General features: G+C 39.0%; 2 annotated features.

Annotated features, from left to right (window-relative positions):
* Positions 8,604-9,271: an enhancer, noted in NCBI's record as "OCT4-NANOG-H3K27ac hESC enhancer chr6:145272790-145273457 (GRCh37/hg19 assembly coordinates)". NCBI's record gives its function as "activates a minimal SCP1, AML or CMV promoter by ChIP-STARR-seq in primed H9 embryonic stem cells {active_cell/tissue: H9 hESC(primed)}" and the evidence as "EXISTENCE:reporter gene assay evidence [ECO:0000049][PMID:30033119]".
* Positions 11,583-12,082: an enhancer, noted in NCBI's record as "H3K27ac hESC enhancer chr6:145275769-145276268 (GRCh37/hg19 assembly coordinates)". NCBI's record gives its function as "activates a minimal SCP1, AML or CMV promoter by ChIP-STARR-seq in naive H9 embryonic stem cells {active_cell/tissue: H9 hESC(naive)}" and the evidence as "EXISTENCE:reporter gene assay evidence [ECO:0000049][PMID:30033119]".

Genomic DNA, 17,671 nt, shown 5'->3' on the forward strand with positions numbered 1-17,671 from the left:
CATTACGCATTTGCCAAAACCCATAGAACTCTACTACACAGAGTAAATCCTAATGTAATCTATGAACTTTAATTAATAATAATGTATCAATATTATTTCCTGAAAGTAACAAATGAACCATACTAATGCAAGATGTTAACAATAGGGGAAATTGGTGAAGGCGGGTAGCTTAGGATAATATGGGAAGTCTCTGGCGTTTTTTTTTCTGTTCAATTTTTCTATAAATCTAAAATTACTCTTTAAGAAACTATACATTTTTTTTTAAAAAACAGAGGTCTTTTGCAAAGGCAGTGCATTCTTCTAATGTAAGGTCGTGGATGGATAAAGGGAAGAAAAGAGTGGAATGAAGATGTGAATTTAGAAGTGACTGCAAAGTGTCATTTCAACCTTCATATATTAAATGGCCTTGGCTCTCATCCTCCTGGGGAGAAGCCTATTCTTGAGTTGATTTTTCATTTATCCGGTATAGCAGACCCCTGTGAAGATCATTTTGGAAAGTCTTGATATCTCAAAGCTATCCACTCAGAGTTCTTCTCTCTGATCTGATAACATAAAAATGTTTAAGGTGGGAGGCTGGCTAGGTGAAATGGAGTCCCAGAGCCAAAAAAGACTTTAAACTTGATCTGTCTTTGTCATGATCCCTGACTGTGCAGACGCATGCTCCATGAAGGAAGGACTCAGCAAACCTCTGCCTCATCCTGACCTTGGGCCCCAAGAGAACATGTAGAACTCAAGCTTGGTGAACACCTTCCTAGGACATTTATATCTTGGAAGACAAAACACAGACCTTTTTCTCAGGTGTTCTGAAAGGTGGGCTGGTGAGTTCTAGATGGAGTTAAGCAAGTTTGAATCTGGGAAATGCAGATTGAGGCCACATGTCAGAGACTATTGGCTGAATTTTGGGATTATTACTAAATCTGGAATAGCCCGAGGCTTTTTGGTATCCTGCTGAATCCAGGAGTAGGGGTGAGACAAGAAGGCATTAGGGGTTAATGGAAAAAAAAGAATATTACCTCTTCCCTCAGACAGTATATTAACCAGAGTGCAACATGAAGTTCCCAAACATGCTCTCTAATTAATGCCACAACCAATCATTAGCCTCTGAGCTTGGAGGAAATCAGCACTCTTCAAATACTGAAGGAAAGGAAAACAGTCTTTTTGATGATATATTGGTGCTTGCTTTTTGACAAAGTTATTAGCAAGATGGACTATGACCTGAGCTATATAACAGACCATTAAAACCTCTGAGGAGAATTTTATTACATCCACACTGCCAGTCAATGTCAATGAAGGTCACGTAAGATTTCTGTTCTTGTGAGACATTGAGCCGTGCCCGGCCATGACTCTGTGGGCAGTTACAAGAGCGTATGTTTAGAAGTTGCTTTCCTAACAGCTAGGAAAGGCTGCCCTGTCATGAGCACCCATATGTACCCAATCTCTCATATGCAGGCTGGGGTGAGACTGCATTTTATGCTTGTTTGTTTTCTCTAAGCTTTAATGACAAATTTCAGATTGCACACTGATATGGTTTGGCTATATCCCCACCAAAATCTCATCTTGAATTGTAGTTCCCATAATTCCCACGTGTTGTAGGAGGGACCTGGTGGGAGATAACTGAATCATGGGGATGGTTTCCCCCATACTGTTCTCATGGTAGTGAATAAGTCTCACGAGATCTGATGGTTTTATAAGAGGAAACCCCTTTGGTTTGGTTCTCATTCTCTCTTGTCTGCCACCATGTAAGACGTGCCTTTTGGCTTCCACCATGATTGTGAAGCATCCCCAGCCACATGGAACTGTGAGTCCATTAAACCTCTTTTTCTTTATAAATTACCCAGTCTCAGGCATGTCTTTATCTGCAGCATGAAAACGGACTAATGCACACACAGAGCAATCTTTCAAACTTTTAAAACCTGGTCATTTAATTCTCCTGCTTAAAACCCTTAAAGCCTCCCAGCACTCTTACAGTAATGTTCAGAATCTTCCATGGGCCTCTGAAGTCCTACAGGACCTGACTGCTGCCCTTCTTACAGCGTTCAAGTCACAAAAGACATTCTCTTTGGTGCTTGAATGGCACTAACTGCTCATCCCTCTGTTGGAAGCCTCTTTCCCTGGCACACTCCTCCCCTCATTCTCCTAAGACCAAGATTAATTTCTGCTCATTCTTCACCTATCAGGTTAATTGGCACTTTGAGAGGAAACTCCTTGCCTGATATCCCTGAAAGTCAGGTGCCTGAAGTTTTGTAATTATTGCACCCTTTGCATTTTCAAACCCATCATCTCAGTTGTAATCATTCTGCTAGATCCTCCTAGATGAGCCTACAGACTCCATGAGGGTAGGAGCTGTTTCTATCCTAGACTCTGCTCTAGCTTTTTTTCCTAGCAGAGGCTCTGGCACAAAGTAGGTGGTTAAGAAATACTTTCTGAAGATTGAATTATTTGTAACCATGACCTTAGTCATTTTAGTTTCCTATGGGAATGGTATACCAAACATGCATTGCTGGAAGATTCTCTGAAGGTATTTTGAGCTTAACAAAGGGACTTTATGATTTTTTTTAATGGAAACAGGCAATAGTAAAACTTTAGCAAAATAAAATTGAAAGGAGAATTAGGTCCTCATGCTTCGGAGAGTAAGAAACTCACCATTTCAGAGCAAGCTGAAAGACGTTTCCCTCTTGCCTCATCCATCAGTGTATTATAATTATGAATTCATTTCTCTCCCTCCAAAGGATCTTGGATGTGGTCTAGTATCCTTCTAAGTGACACCATAAAAAAGGGGGCACCATCATATTCCAAAAGCAGGGCTGTTCTATGTTCATAATTTAGTATGAAGGGTAGATATCCAGAATGTGCCACCTTCTGAATAGCTAATACTTTTAGGTTCATATCCTAGTGTTTTGTTTGCTAAGCCTCTTGGAGTTCTGAGGAGAAGAGTTTCTGTTCCTAAATTTGATAAAGGTAGAACTCTTCCATCTGCTGAAGGAGGCAAACATCAGAGATGCTTCCTCATCCCACCACTTGGAGACCCAAGTCTGTCTTTGTGAGGAGGAAGAAAAGGCTGTTATCATCTTAGAATTCAGGATCTCAGTGCCATGGACTGAATGTTTGTGTGTCACCTGTTGATATCCTCACCCCCAATGCTATGGTATGAGAGGTGGAACCTTTGGTAGGTAATTAGGTCATGAGAATGAAGCTCTCAGAATGGGCTTAGTGTTCTTAGAAGAAGAGATGTGAGAAAGAGATGATCTTTCTCTTTGCTATGTGGAGATACAGCGAGAAAGTGATTGTCTGCAAACCTGGAAAAGGGCCCTCACCAGAACCTGACCATGCTAGGTCAAGATCATTAGAACACCCTGATCTTGAACTTCCATCCTCCATAACAGTGAGAAATACATTTCTGTTGTTTAAGCCACCCAGTCTATGGTAATCATAATAGCAGCCAAACTGACTAAGACCCTTAGTAATATCTGTGATTAGCTCTTCTGAGACTCATGAAGAGACATGATACAGATTATGATATTTTACATGCTTATAAATATACAATATACTAGTGTTTATTAATGTATCAACATTAGATAGAGATCTTTCTGATATCAACATGTATATACTTCTTGTTTAGTAAATTCAGTACTATGAAGATAATTTATGTTTTCTTGAACATTGGAAATTTTCCCATGCCTCCATATGAGTATTAGTTTTGATTTTCTAGAATTATAATTGCAAATACAGAAACTGCAAAAGACAGGAATAAATATTAAAGACCCAAGGGCATAATCTGAAAGTTTAGTTTTGCCCCTTTAATAATTAATATGAGCTTATTTCTCCTAATTTTTTTCTTCCCTCTAAAATTAAAAGCCAGAAAATTCCAACTGAGTAAGTCATCCAATTTGAGGTCTATTTTTTTGAGGTGGGAAATCTTGTCATAAATTTAACAGATACAGTAACTAACTCTTCAACTATGCCTCCTACTGTATTCTATCAAGTTGAGTTTTCTTTAGTTAAACGTAGACACAGGATAAAAAAAATTCCAAAACCAAATTCACCTAGTATTTTGATGTTTAGGATGCAAAAATTTTTATAGGGTTTGAGAAGTAGGTTTGTAAACAGATTTTCGTTTTGTGTATGCATGTGATTCTTTCATCCCAAGCAACTCCTTATGGAAGAATAGCTTTCATTTTATTAATAATTTATAAAGGTCCTTTGTACTTGTTTTTCTCTCTGCCTGGAATACTCTCTCCACAAATATGCACATCTCATTTTCTTATCAACTTCAGGTAGGTCTTTACACAAGTATAATATTATCTAAGTAGGTCCTTCCCTGATTGCCTTATGAAGAATTGCAACCATTCTCACTCAACGTTTTCTATCCTCCTTCCCTGCTTTATTCTCTTCATATCACTTATCCCATCTAACATTCCATATATTTTACTTACTTATTTTATTATTCTCTGTGTCCCGTAACTAGAATGTAAACTCCACAAGGGTAGAGATTTTGCCTGTTTCCTTCTCTGCTTTATTCTCAGAGCCAGAATACTGCTTATCATAAAGTAGACACTGAGTAAATATTTATCAAACACATTTTATCAAATCTTTCTCAGCAATCCCAAGATTAAAGGTTTAGTTTACTGGTTGTTTGAGGAGGGGGTTGGCAATTCATATAGAGAAAACCAAGCTCACTGGCAAAGGTCCCTTAGTGACTGCTGAGGTGAGTGGTCGCATGGGCTGGCAAGTACAGAGATCACCTGTGTGTCACCCAGAAAACACAGTAAACTTGCCATTTGCAGAACTTCTCTGAGATTTCAAAATTACTGTCAATAGCTCTGGCAGTTAGACAAAAATTTTGTTTTCTTTTACCAAGGGTGGCTTTAGCAGATGTAAATTTTTCTTTTAAAAATGGGTAGCGTTTTTCCTTCCATATATTCTTTTAGAAAGTAAAAATTCCATTATTTAGTTTAGAAAATAGAAATTCAATAATAGTCCATACCATAAGGGAGAAGAATGAATACTCCACCTTTTTTGTATGTGTGCTTGTGAAGTTGGACTCAGTTGAATTTTCATGTTGTATTGAAATATTCTAACGGGAAGACAGCATATTTTTGCTCTCTTGGCTCTCTTAATTTAAGTTCATTCTATGATAAATGGATTTGTTGTCCTGGGGCAGCCTCCATGGGTTTAAACTTAAAGGTATTCTTTCTTTCATTTTACATTTAGGCATGATACAGGAATTCAATTGTGTGTAAAATATATTACTTCACATACATAAACAAAATCTAGATATTTTCAGATGACTTGACTTTTGCCCTCCTTCTCCATTGCCTTCTGCCATGATTGTAAGTTTCCTGAGGCCTCCTAGCCATGCTTCCTGTTAAGCCAGCAGAACCCTGAGTCAATTAAACCTCTTTTCTTCATAAATTACCCAGTCTCAGGTATTTCTTTATAGCAGTGTGAAAATAGACCAATACATAGGTGATGGTAGCAGAAATTAAGTGCCACACAGGGAGGAAGCAGCATGAGCCCACAGAAACTGGAAAGCCAGCAGCAGTGAAATCAAGAAAGAAGCCATAGACCCAGAATTGGGGAGAAGAGCTGAGGCACAGTAGTGGCAAAGGCTGGGTGAAAGCAAACAGATCTATAGCTGAGGAAGGATTAGCCCATGGGAGAGAGGCCTGGAAACAAAAAACAGCATTAGCGCTATTCAGATTCTCAATGACTTACCAGTTCATGATATTGCAAACTTCATGAGGCCTGCCTGTCTGAAATTGATTTTCTTCCCAATAATTCTTGCCATTTAACTTTTCCTGGAGCTGAAAAACATAACACTGATAATGGATTTACTGAGCCCTCACTTTTTGCCAGAGTTGTTTTAAGTGTTTTTCCAGGATATTCTTTTTCATTTGTGAAACTATTCTTTGAAGTAGGTACTTTTATTAATCTTAGTTTACAAATGAGAAAATGGAAGCAAGAAATGTTAAATTAACTTGCTGGAGATCACATAGTGATTAGGGAGTAGACCTTGGAATTCAAATGTGGTAGAATGATTTAGAGCCCAGACTCTAGTTGATCATGGGATACTACCTTTATAAGGTTAAGATGTGTCCTCTGCATTTCCATGTTTATTATTATTCTACTGCTCACACCCCACAGCCCACCATATTCTTGTTTATATTCTTGGCAACACCCAGAGTTCATAACAAATCTAGAGATCTACCAGTGTGAATCACTAGGCAATCAATTTAAACTCCCTTTTTGTAGGCATATTGTAAAAGGTGTTTTGCTAACCCCACTGTTAATGTACCAGGCCAGCTCCTTAGAATATAATGCTTCTCTTTGATTTGTCTCTAAGAAGAGTGATGCTCCTATTATAGGACATCTTGTCCTAAATTCCACTGAATTGTTGTCTAGCTCTTCCCCTAGATTTAGATCTCCTTAGAGTACAAATTGCTTTTTATTTTTTCTCTTTGGTATCTCCCACACTGCCTAGGACAAAGTAGATGTTCCAAAACAGTTCAGTGAATTAATTCAATGCCTTCTTATTTGTACTCCAGGCTACAGAGGTGTATTCACACTCTGTTCCAGACTACCTTGGGAATAAGCCAAGTGGTAAATAGAGTCAATAGAGAGGTTATACTGGATTCAAGGTGGCTTTCAACCCAGAATGCTAATATGTAGGCATTAAAAAAATTACTTTGATATTAGAGACAGAAGGACAGACCAAACACTTTGGGTCAAGATCTATGTAATTGAGTTAATAGCACATACTTAAAAATAATACTTTTATTTGTATAGTACTTTATAGATAGAAAAGTATTTTCATTTAAATTGTCAAATTTGATACTCACAGTGTATTTTGAAGATTTATTGTTCCCAGTCTTAAAGACTGTTCCTTACTCAAGGCAGGCAGCCATGTGGGCCAGTGAGGTCTCTCTGCTGTTGCAGGCCTGTGTATCTCCCTACTCCACAGGTCACTGACAGCTCTGCCTAGAAATCCCCAGGACAGGGGTGAGGTAGGGGTAGAGATGGAGGAGGTCCTTCTTCATTCTATTGTAACCTCCCAATGGGTTCACTTTGTCCGCGGCCTAGACACAGCCGATTTCTCAAGACAGGGGAATTGCAATAGAGAAAGAGTAATTCATGCAGAGCCAGCTATGTGGGAGACTGGAGTTTAATTATTACTCAAATCAGTCTCCCTGACTATTCGGGGAGCAGAGTTTTTAAGGACAACTTGGTGGCTGGGGGAAAGCCTGTGAGCCAGGAGTGCTGATTGGTCAGAGATAAAATCATAGGGAGTTGAAGCTGTCTTGTGCTCAGTCAGTTCCTGGGTGGGGACCACAAGATCAGATGAGCCAGTTTATCAATCTGGGTGGTGCCAGCTGATCCATCAAGTGCAGGGTCTGCAAAATATCTCAAGCACTGATCTTAGGAGCAGTTTAGGGAGGATGAGAATCTTGTAGCCTCCAGCTGCATGACTCCTAAACCATAATTTCTAAACTTGTGGCTAATGTTAGTTCTACAAAGGCGATCTAGTCCTCAGGCAAGAAGGAGGTCTGCTTTGGGAAAGGGCTGTTATCATCTTTGTTTTAAACTATAAAGTATAAACCATATTTCTCCCAAAGTGAGTTCAGCCTACACCCAGGAATGAACAAGGACAGCTTGGAGGTTAGAAGCAAGATGGAGTCCACTAAATTAGATCTTTTTCACTGTCTCAGTCATAATTTTGCAAAAGTGGTTTCACTATCTGTGATCAAACCTCTGCAATAGGAATGACAGGTGATCGTCTTTCCCCTGGGCGCCACCTCCTCCTTCCATTCCTTCTGAGTCTTCTCCAACCCAACACATACTCAATCAGGATGGAGTTGGAAACAAATTTTGCTAGAAGCTCAGACTTCAGAGGAGATTGTAGCTTTACCTGAAAACTTGGCCTTCCAGAGTAGGGTGACGCACATGAAACCCTTCTCCTGCACTCTTTCATCTCAGTCCCCTCTCCTTTCTTGGCCACCTCCCCCTTCAACAACTTTTCTAGCATCCCCAACACCTTTCCTTGAGAATCTCCATTAGTCTCCACGTGGAGATTCTTCTACCACCATTTCTCCCTCTTGAAACTTTAGCACAACACTAATTAGCTTTTGAGGAGGGAGACTGTAAGTTATAGTCTTGCAAGTGATGATGGACACGGGAATTTCAAATCCTCTTTAGTCTCCCCACCAGATATAGGCAGGGAAATTTCCTCACAAGTTTTCCTGGGATGCCAGAACACACTGTCACAGTCAAAATTACTTTCTCCTGGATAATACCATCATCCCTCAGTATCCACAGCTCATGGATATAAAAATCCCCATATGCTCAATTTCCTGATATTAAATGGCACAGTATTTGTATACATAAATAAAAAATAAAATTGTAAGCTCCTAATCAACTGAATGGACTCCTCCACCCCCTGGGCAACAGGATCCTAAAGAAAATCTGAAAAACTAGTTCAGGCCATGACTGGAAGACAGGGTTGGACTTGCCTGTTATACCCTCTTCCCTTTGGAGTTTAGGCACAACTGACCAGCACTAACATTAAGATAAAGATCATAAGAAAAACAGACTTTTTGTAGCAATAAGATAACCAACTCCAGCCTGACTCTGATATAGCATCATGTGAAAGATAGCAGGTTTTGGAGGAAATTATTTTACCCCAAAATATATTTTCTTTGACATCTTTTGAAATGCCCCTGTTAAGTCATCTCTTGCGGGGGAAATTTGCATTCTGTAGAGAATCTCCTTCCCTTTCTAGGTCTTTTCCTGATCCAGGAGGTTTAACTGAGAGTCTGACACATTTAAGTTTCAAAAAGAGACATTTACCATCTATTCTCTCTGAAACCTGCTACCTGCAGGCTTCATCTACATAACAAGAACCTTGGCTTCCACAGCTCCCCTTATCTTAATTCAAGCATTTATTTAAGCCGACTTCAACTCTCTAGGCAAAGGTTAACTTTCACCAATTGCAAATCAGAAAATCTTTGAATCCACCTATGACCTAGAAGCCCTCATCTGCCACACCACTTTGACGTGTCCCATCCTTCCAGGCCAATGTGTACCTTACATGTATGGATTTATGTCTTTGCTTCTAACTTTTGTCTCCCTAAAATGTATAAAACCAATCTGTAACCCAACCACTTGGGGCACATGTTCTCAGGATCTCCTGAGGCTGTGTCCTGGGCAGTGATCACTCATATTTGGCACAGAATAAGTCTCTTCAAATATTTTACAGATTCTGGCTTTTTTTGTCAACTTATATAACCTATGCACATTCTTCTGCATATTTTAAGTCATTTCTAGATGACTTATAATACCTAATACAACATAAATACTATGTAAATAATTGTTATATTGTATTTTTTGTTTGTATTCTTTTAAATTACTGTATTTTCTTCCTTCCTTCCTTCCTTCCTTCCTTCCTTCCTTCCTTCCTTCCTTTCTTCCTTCCTTCCTCCCTCCCACTTTCCTTTCCTTTCCTTATTTCCTTCTTTGTTTCTCTCTCTCTCTCTTTTTCTCTCTGTGGTTGGTTGAATCTGTGGATGTGGAACCCGTGGATATGGCGACTGACTGTACAGTCAAATATCATATGGAGAAAGAATAGTCACCCTGCCCTTGAAGAATAATAAACTCTGTCATTATTGTAAGAGGCTTTGACTCTTTCCTGAGCTTGGATCAAGTTACAAGAACCTCTACTAGGTGCAAACTGGTTTATCTTTGCCATCCAGGAAGGATGACCCAACCCAGATTATTTTTTTAAAATTTCAAGTCTTTACCTTTTTTTACACCAAATCCCATCCCCCTCACTCAAGGGAGTGGGGTAGATTGATTCTATCGTAGTGCTAAGAAAACAGAACCATAAAGAAATTAAGTGAATTACCAAGCAATGGCAGATGTAAGACCTACATGTCTCCCTCATAAATATTAATTGTGTACTTTGCAAGGGATTTACTGGCAGCTCTGGGGAAACTTCTGATGGTAAATTACTGAATCTATCTGTTGATCTCATTTCTCTATTTCCTTTCCAGCTCCCTTTAAAATAAAAAGTGTTAAATATATTCAAAAGCTCTTGATTTAGAATGATCAGGAGGTAAGGTTGCAAGCTGGAAATTTTTCTTAAATAGCAAACTGGAAATTGCTGAAGATGATAAGGCAAATATTAAATATTCCTAATATAATAGCTTTTTTTTACAAGTTCCCCATAGCTGATGTTTATAGCATTTGTATTTTGCTTAATTATTTCCTCTATTGGCACTGTGCTTTGCACATGGTAGGAACTCAACTGGAGAATTCGATAAATGATTTCATTGAGAATGTTTGAGTAAAATCATCCCAGAAGTCAGACCCTTACCTATAGTATTCAGGCTAGGCCAGCTCACCATCAATCAATTCTGCTCTGCCTTTGAAATTATTTTTAAAAAATCAAGTCATGTGAAAGTGAATGTGTTTATCAGAATTAACAAGATTTAAAACATTTCCCACTTTATTTTTGGTGAGTTCCTTTTCTGGCCAAAAAAAATACTGGCTCATTATTTTCAAAGTATTGCCTTGCCTAAGCAGGTGTGCACACACCTTCCTACCTCACTCAGCTTTTCTGATCAAGTCTAAGGATGGTTGTGTTTTTTTTTTAAAAGTTCTCACTTTGCCTCCCTCCAAAAGTCTCATTTCACTATTGCCCAATCTCTTTCCTCCCCCATTGTGTATGTCTCTTTCTCCCTCCCTCTTGTATTTATTATACACCTACAAAAAGTAGAATTTCCCTTGGCTAATGCTTGATAAGTTTGTTTTACCCACCATTTTATGTTTTGGGAATTGGTCTTTTTACCTCTGCCAGCAGCCTCAGCATTGCTGGGGCATATTTCCAGATGTTTAAGGAAAGCAGCGCTGTTTTTGAGCTAAGGGTAGTGGACACTCCCCCACCCATTTTTTTTTTTTTTTTAATCAGATTGGTAAGTGTGCCACAGGCTGGCTATGACCTGTGGTGTCTTTCTAGCAGCCATGAAAGAATGTGGCTGGCATTCAAAGGCATTGCTTTCAACCTCAGGTCATTGGAGATGAGGGTGAGCCACATAATAAGAATGCAGACTCTGAGCAGATCCTCCGGAGGGATAGACAATGGAAGGCGGGCCTGAATCGAGCAAACGTTTGTAACAGGATGGTAAATGAGACTATTCTTGCTGGTTTACTTGTGGTTGAGGCCTCAGAGCTAAGAGCAGTAAGTGGCAAATACCCTACATTCTAAAGAGGGTGCTTGATGTACGCAGAAGATGAGGATTTCCTTGAGATAAGTGAATGGCTGGCTGTATTGCCCTCACTGGGAGAGGATGGTATTGGATTGCTTGCTAGTCCACCAAGAAGGGAGCTGAGGGCCTACAGAGATGCTCTCTGAGTTGGGAGGGATGTCTTCCAGGGAGGAGACTGCCATCTCAGTCTTCTTCTCATGCCCTGTACGTTAAGATGCAAAACATGGGGGCCCCATGCCATTCGGGGATGACCTTAGGATCAGAGCAAAGAATGGAGAGAAGGTTCTTGGAGAACTTGAGTTCTGTTCTCCTTGTGCCTCCTAAGCTAGAGTTTCAGAGATTGTGTCTGGTCCTTATCTGGAAAGGGCAAAGGTGAGAAGCTGGCTGACATTGCCCCTGATGGCAACATGAAAGGAGAGGGCCACCTGCATTTTCTGATTTGGCAGGCAAAGGGGCTGGGTATTTTCCTGAGAGCCAGAAGAAGAACAAAGCAAGGGTCAGACCTGAAACGGGTCCCACTCCAATGGGCTGCCTGATCCCAGGAAGGACCCCAGCAGAGAGAGCCTACATGGGGCACACACTGGTGGCAGGAATGAGGGGTTTGGCTAGGGGTCTAGCCAGAGACTACATAGGTCACAGAGACTAGCTGTGAGAGGTCTCTGTAAAGAGGGGGCCAAAGGTTTTTGGAATTGGCCCAGGAAAGAAAGAACCAACTGTGTAACAGAGGACTTTGTGGGGATAGTTTGTCATGATACTAGTTAAGGGAGCCATTTCCCTCCTTCTTTTTTTTTTTAATTTTTTTATTTTTTTGAGACAGAGTGTCACTCTGTTGCCCAGGCTGGAGTGCAATGGCACGATCTCAGCTCACTGCAACCTCTGCCTCCTGGGTTCAAGTGATTCTTGTGCCTCAGCCTTCTGAGTCGCTGGGATTACAGGCGCACACCACCACATCTGGCTAAGTTTTAAAATATTTTTTGTAGAGACGGGTTTTCACCAAGTTGGCCAGGCTGGTCTCGAACTCCTGACCTCAAGTGATCTGCCCTCCTTGGCCTCCCAAAGTGTTGGGATTACAGGCATGAGCCACCACATCTGGCCCTCCTTCCTTCTTTCCTCTTTTGTTTCCCCTCCTCCCAGACACCAGAGGTAGCACAGTGAGATGGAAGGAGGAGGGAAGGATGGCAGTGAAGAAATAGTTCCGAAGTGAGGCAGGGCCTGTCCCTTCCTTTCTGCAGGCTCAGGTCAGGAGGCAGAAAAACTTTAAATCGGTTGAGAGTGAAGTTTGACATTAGACAGAACTAGTCTGTTTATCTTAAAAGATGATACTGTTTATTATTAGGTGAAAGACACCAGAGAAACTATGAAATCTGCCCAAGAAATAGAAGGAAAGGCCAACATGAGAAACAATAAAGATTCCTTTTTTTTTCCTCTGTACCCTCAACTGTGCCTTTTGTATTCAACAGGTATTGTTACATGTTCTTCCAATAAGTTTTTGAAAAGAACTTTACATCAATTTATTTTATTTCTGTTGAGAAGCCCTCATGACCAGACTCCCTTCAGCATGTTACACCTTAAATAAACAAAAGGCATTCTGAATGGCTTAGGTGGGAAGGGATTGTTGCTGGTTTAAATAAGGACGATTTGAATACCCACTACAAACTTTTCTAGCATTTGCCTAAGATGCTCACCAGTTCCTTTTGGTTAAGCGGTATGGTATCTCAAGTAAAAATGCTCTCTGAGACTGCAAATACAGCTTGGGGGAATTCAGACAATGACTCATGGCCTTGGTCCTTGCTAGAATTTTACTTTACATATCACTACACATTGTTGGGAGTTGTGAAGAAGTTCATTATCTTCCTGTGAATAGGAGTGCAGGGGAATTATTTATTTCAAGTTTTATCTTAGGTCGCTTTCAGTGATCTCTTAATCTATTAGATTGGTGCAAAAGGAATTGCAGTTTTTGTCATTGAAAGTAATGGCAAAACCTTCAATTACTGCAATTACTTTTGCACCAACCTAATAGTTCAACTTTGGCTTGGCCATGTGCCTGCATGTAGATAACACCCATGGGCTTAAAGAAAATTTAACTGTGGTAAGTTGAATAATTTATTGGGAGTTGATATTCCACATCTCACAATTAAAAGAGAATTTTGACATTCACTGGAGACTGGTTCTGAAGTTGTGTAAAGCTCTAATCTACAGTGGCACAACTAATATTAGGCTCACATGAAATAAATTAAGTCCCTAAGCAACTAAACTTTAGGGCTTCTGTGAAACATGGAACTGTCTGAAGTGAAGGCTTTGTAAATGGTCCTCTGTACACACACTGAGAATGTTAGGCCTACACCAGGCAATTGTCAAGAAGACCTCTGTCTATCACCTATCTATCCATCTGTCTGTCATCTATCTATCCATCTATCATCTATCTATCCATCTGTCTATCATCTATCTATTCATCTGTCTATCATCTATCTATCCATCTATCATCTATCTGTCCATCTATCATCTATCTATCCATCTATCATCTGTCTGTCTATCATCTATCTTTCCATCTGTCTATCATCTATCTATTCATCTATCATCTATCTATCCATCATCTATCCATCTATCATCTATCTATCCATCTATCATCTATCTATCCATCTATCATCTATCTGTCTATCATCTATCCATCTATCATCTATGTATCTATGTATCTATCTATCTATCATCTATCTATCTATCTATCTATCTATCTATCTATCTATCTATCATCTATCTATCCATCTATGTATATAGAGTTATTATGAGGAATTGGCTCACATCATTATGGAGGCTGAGAAATCTCACGGTCTGCCATCTGCAAGCAGGAGATCCACGCAAGCTGGTGGTGTAATTCAGTCTGAGTTCCAAGTCCTGAGAATCTGGGAAACTAACCATGGGAAATCACAGTTGAAAGGCAGGAGAAGAAGAGATGTTCCAGCTCAAGCAGACAGGTAGGAAAAAAGGAGCAAATTCCTCACCCTCTACCATTTGCTGTATTCAGGCCCTCAGTGAACTGGATAATGCCCACGCAGATTTGGGAGGATGATCTATAGTCATGCATTGCTTAACCATGAGGATACTGAGAAATGAATTGTTAGACAATTTTGTCATTGTGCAAACATCATAGAGTGTACTTACACAAACTTAGATGGCAGAGCCTACTACAAATCTAGGCTATATGGGATAGCCTATTGCTCCTAAGCTGCAAACCTGTATAGCATGTTACTGTACTGAATTTTGTAGGCAGTTGTGGCACAATGGTAAGTATTTATGTATCTAAACATATCTAAATATAGAAAAGATACAGGGAAAAAAGTTATAAAAGATAAAAATAGTATATCTTATAGAACACTTAAAATAAATAGAGCTTGAAAGACTGAAAGTTGCTTTGGGTGAGTCAGTGAGTGAGTGTGAAGGCCTAGGATGTTACTGTACACTAATGTGGACTGTATAAATACAGTACACTTAAACTACACTACATTTCTAAAAGAAAAAAAGTTTTCTTTCTTCAATAATAAATTAAACTTAGCTTACTGTAACATTTTTACTTTCCAAATTTTGTTAACTTTCTTACTCTTTTGTAATAACACTTAGTTTAAAATATGAACACATTGTATAGCTGTATGTATTTTCTTTCTTTATATCCTATTCTCTTTTTTCTATTTTTTATTCTTATTTTTTTCTATTTTTAAATTTTTAAATTTTTTTTTTACTTTTAAAATTTTTGGTTAAAAACTGAAACACAAGCACACACATTTGCCTAGGCATGCACAGATTCAGAATCATCAATATCATTGTCTTCCACCTCCACATCTTACCCCACTGGAAGGTTTTCAAGGGCAATAACAGACTTGGAGCTGTCACCTCCTATAACAAAGCCTTTTTCTGGAAAACCTCCTGAAGGACCTGCCTGAGGGTGTTTCACATTCAACTTTATTTTTAATAAGTTTTTAGAAAAGCAATTGTGCTACGACCTTACGATGGCTACAATGTCACTAGGCAATAGGAAATTTTCAGCTCCATTATAATCTTATGGGACCACCATTGTATATGTTGTCCATCCTTGACTGAAATGTCATTATGAAAGTACTTTACTGAGTCTACCCGTTCAAATGCTAGTCTCATCCAGAAACACTCTCACAGGCACACCCAGAAACAATACCCCTCTATCCCCGCTCCCACCACCTACTCAAGTTGACACATGAAATTAACCATCACACTATGCCTATTCAGAAGAGACTGATTGGTGAAGTTCAAATACAGGAAGAAATGTTAAGCAAAGAATAAATAATTTTCTTTTTCTTTTCATATCTCATATGGATAAGGCCAAATAATTAAGTATAAAATATGGCATCTAAGATTTAGATTAGACAAAATAAGAACACATTTAAATAAGGATTGCTAAGAAAGAGTGTCAAGTCTCTCATGCCAGGACTAGTTGTACAGCAAAGGCAGCACTCTGGTTTTGATGTTGGCATATAAGTCACAAAGGGCAAATGAATGGGCTCTGGAAGTTCATCCGACAAGCTCCCCTACATCCACTACAGCAGGGACAGTACTGATATTCTGCAAACATTCCAGTTTGTGGTGTAGAAAGGTCTGTGAAATGCTGGCTTGCTCCTCCATCACCTTCCACTTGTGTATGTTGAGAGAATTAAACAAAACTCTCATTTTGGCTGAAAGTGGAACCTGGGTTTAAATGTTTTCAATCTGAACCATGTTTCCTAAATAAATTCATGATAACTTGCACATTCAAAATTAAAATCAAGGGGCTAATTTGTAACAAATTATTTAAAAATCATTAAATGTTTTACTCATTTCCATTTGGGAACAAGGTGCCTATTTGCAAGTCTTAGAAATAGGTATACTCTTTCAGAGAGTCTTCTGGAGCCCAGACTTTTAGAAATCGTAAATGTACATGCCATTAAATATGGTGCTCCTTTTAAGATGTGTAGTTACTGAGTAAAAATCTAATATCCTACAACCCAAACAATCATAATGAAATCCAGTCTGTAGTCCCAGTTAGGTGATTCAATGATATCATACATGAGGAGCTTGTCATCATGAGAAACAGGAAACTGGAAATGCGGATTTCTATTGTGCAAACAATGTCCTTAGGAAAAATATGATCACAGACCAATGAATCTATGAAATAAAGGTATAGTTTTAATATTAGCTAACATATTTATAGAACTTATTGGCATAGAATCATTAAAACTTCTCTTGTAAAAGCATCATTCATTTTGAAAGTTCCGCATTATAATTTTCCTAGTGTGATGTAATCCTTTAACCCATTATTTAATATTCATTAAAAAAGACTCAACTTATTTACCTTAGAAGACAGCTTATGAATTACTTTTTCCTAAAGTATTTTCCATAATCAAAGGCAAAGGTTTTCTTTCTTTGCATCAAATGCTATCTCCATTTTTTCCCACTAACCCATGCTACCAACAATTCTCTTTTTGTAATTTTATTGGTACCTTGAAAGAAGGTGCCATGTCCTTCTGGGTCTCCTCTTTTTACGGCATAAATTTAGCTTTCCTGGGCTCTTTGTTTGCCATCTCATTTGACTGCTGGATCATTCTGCGCTTTCCTTTGCATCTCCAGGGGGTTGTTATTACTCACATTGGCCAGGTTACTGGGGAGATCAGGTGCACCTGAGGACCTTTTTGCACTCACTTGTAGCCCTGTCTCCTCTTACACCTTGGGCTTACATCAGACACGATCTCAGATCAGATGGAACTTACTAGGTTCTTTGCCTCCTCATATTGGGAGCAAGAATAGCTGCTTGTGTCACTGGCTCTGGCCTAACAAGTTATTGGGAGACAGAAGATCCAGCACCTTCTTTCCCTAGGACATCTTGCAAAGAATCTTTGCTGCTTTTTCCTAATGCTTCACCAACAAGCAAGCAAAAAGGCAGATGCTGAGAAACTGGTGCCTCCTGGAGCTTTGGTTGTATCCTGAAACCAGGGCTTCTTCCTTAGGGTAAGCAAGAACTGTGGGCTGTTGTTATCAAATCAGCTTCATTACATCATAGTCATGCTATAAGGCAAAGAAGCCATCACAAGTATTTGAAGAAGTCAAGATCTATACCTTGGGAATTCTGGAATCCTTTACACATTCTCTAAGCTTTGTCTGACCCTTCTATAAGGAACTAGTAGAAAGTGTCACTGCATCACTGGTGTCTAGTAAATGTTTCACAACAGGCTTTCTGAAAAAACAAACAAACAAAACTATGCATACATATATGTACAAAAGTTTATCACAAATTTTATTTATTTATATGTATATTTTATTTATTTGTGTGCATAGCACACAACTGACAAAAAATAATAAAATACACATATTCTTCATTGTAAATTGATTTTCATAGAATGCTGTAGTTGATA

The sequence above is a fragment of the Homo sapiens genome, chromosome 6 (assembly GCF_000001405.40).
Source record: "Homo sapiens chromosome 6, GRCh38.p14 Primary Assembly".
NCBI classification, from domain to species: Eukaryota; Metazoa; Chordata; class Mammalia; order Primates; family Hominidae; genus Homo; species Homo sapiens.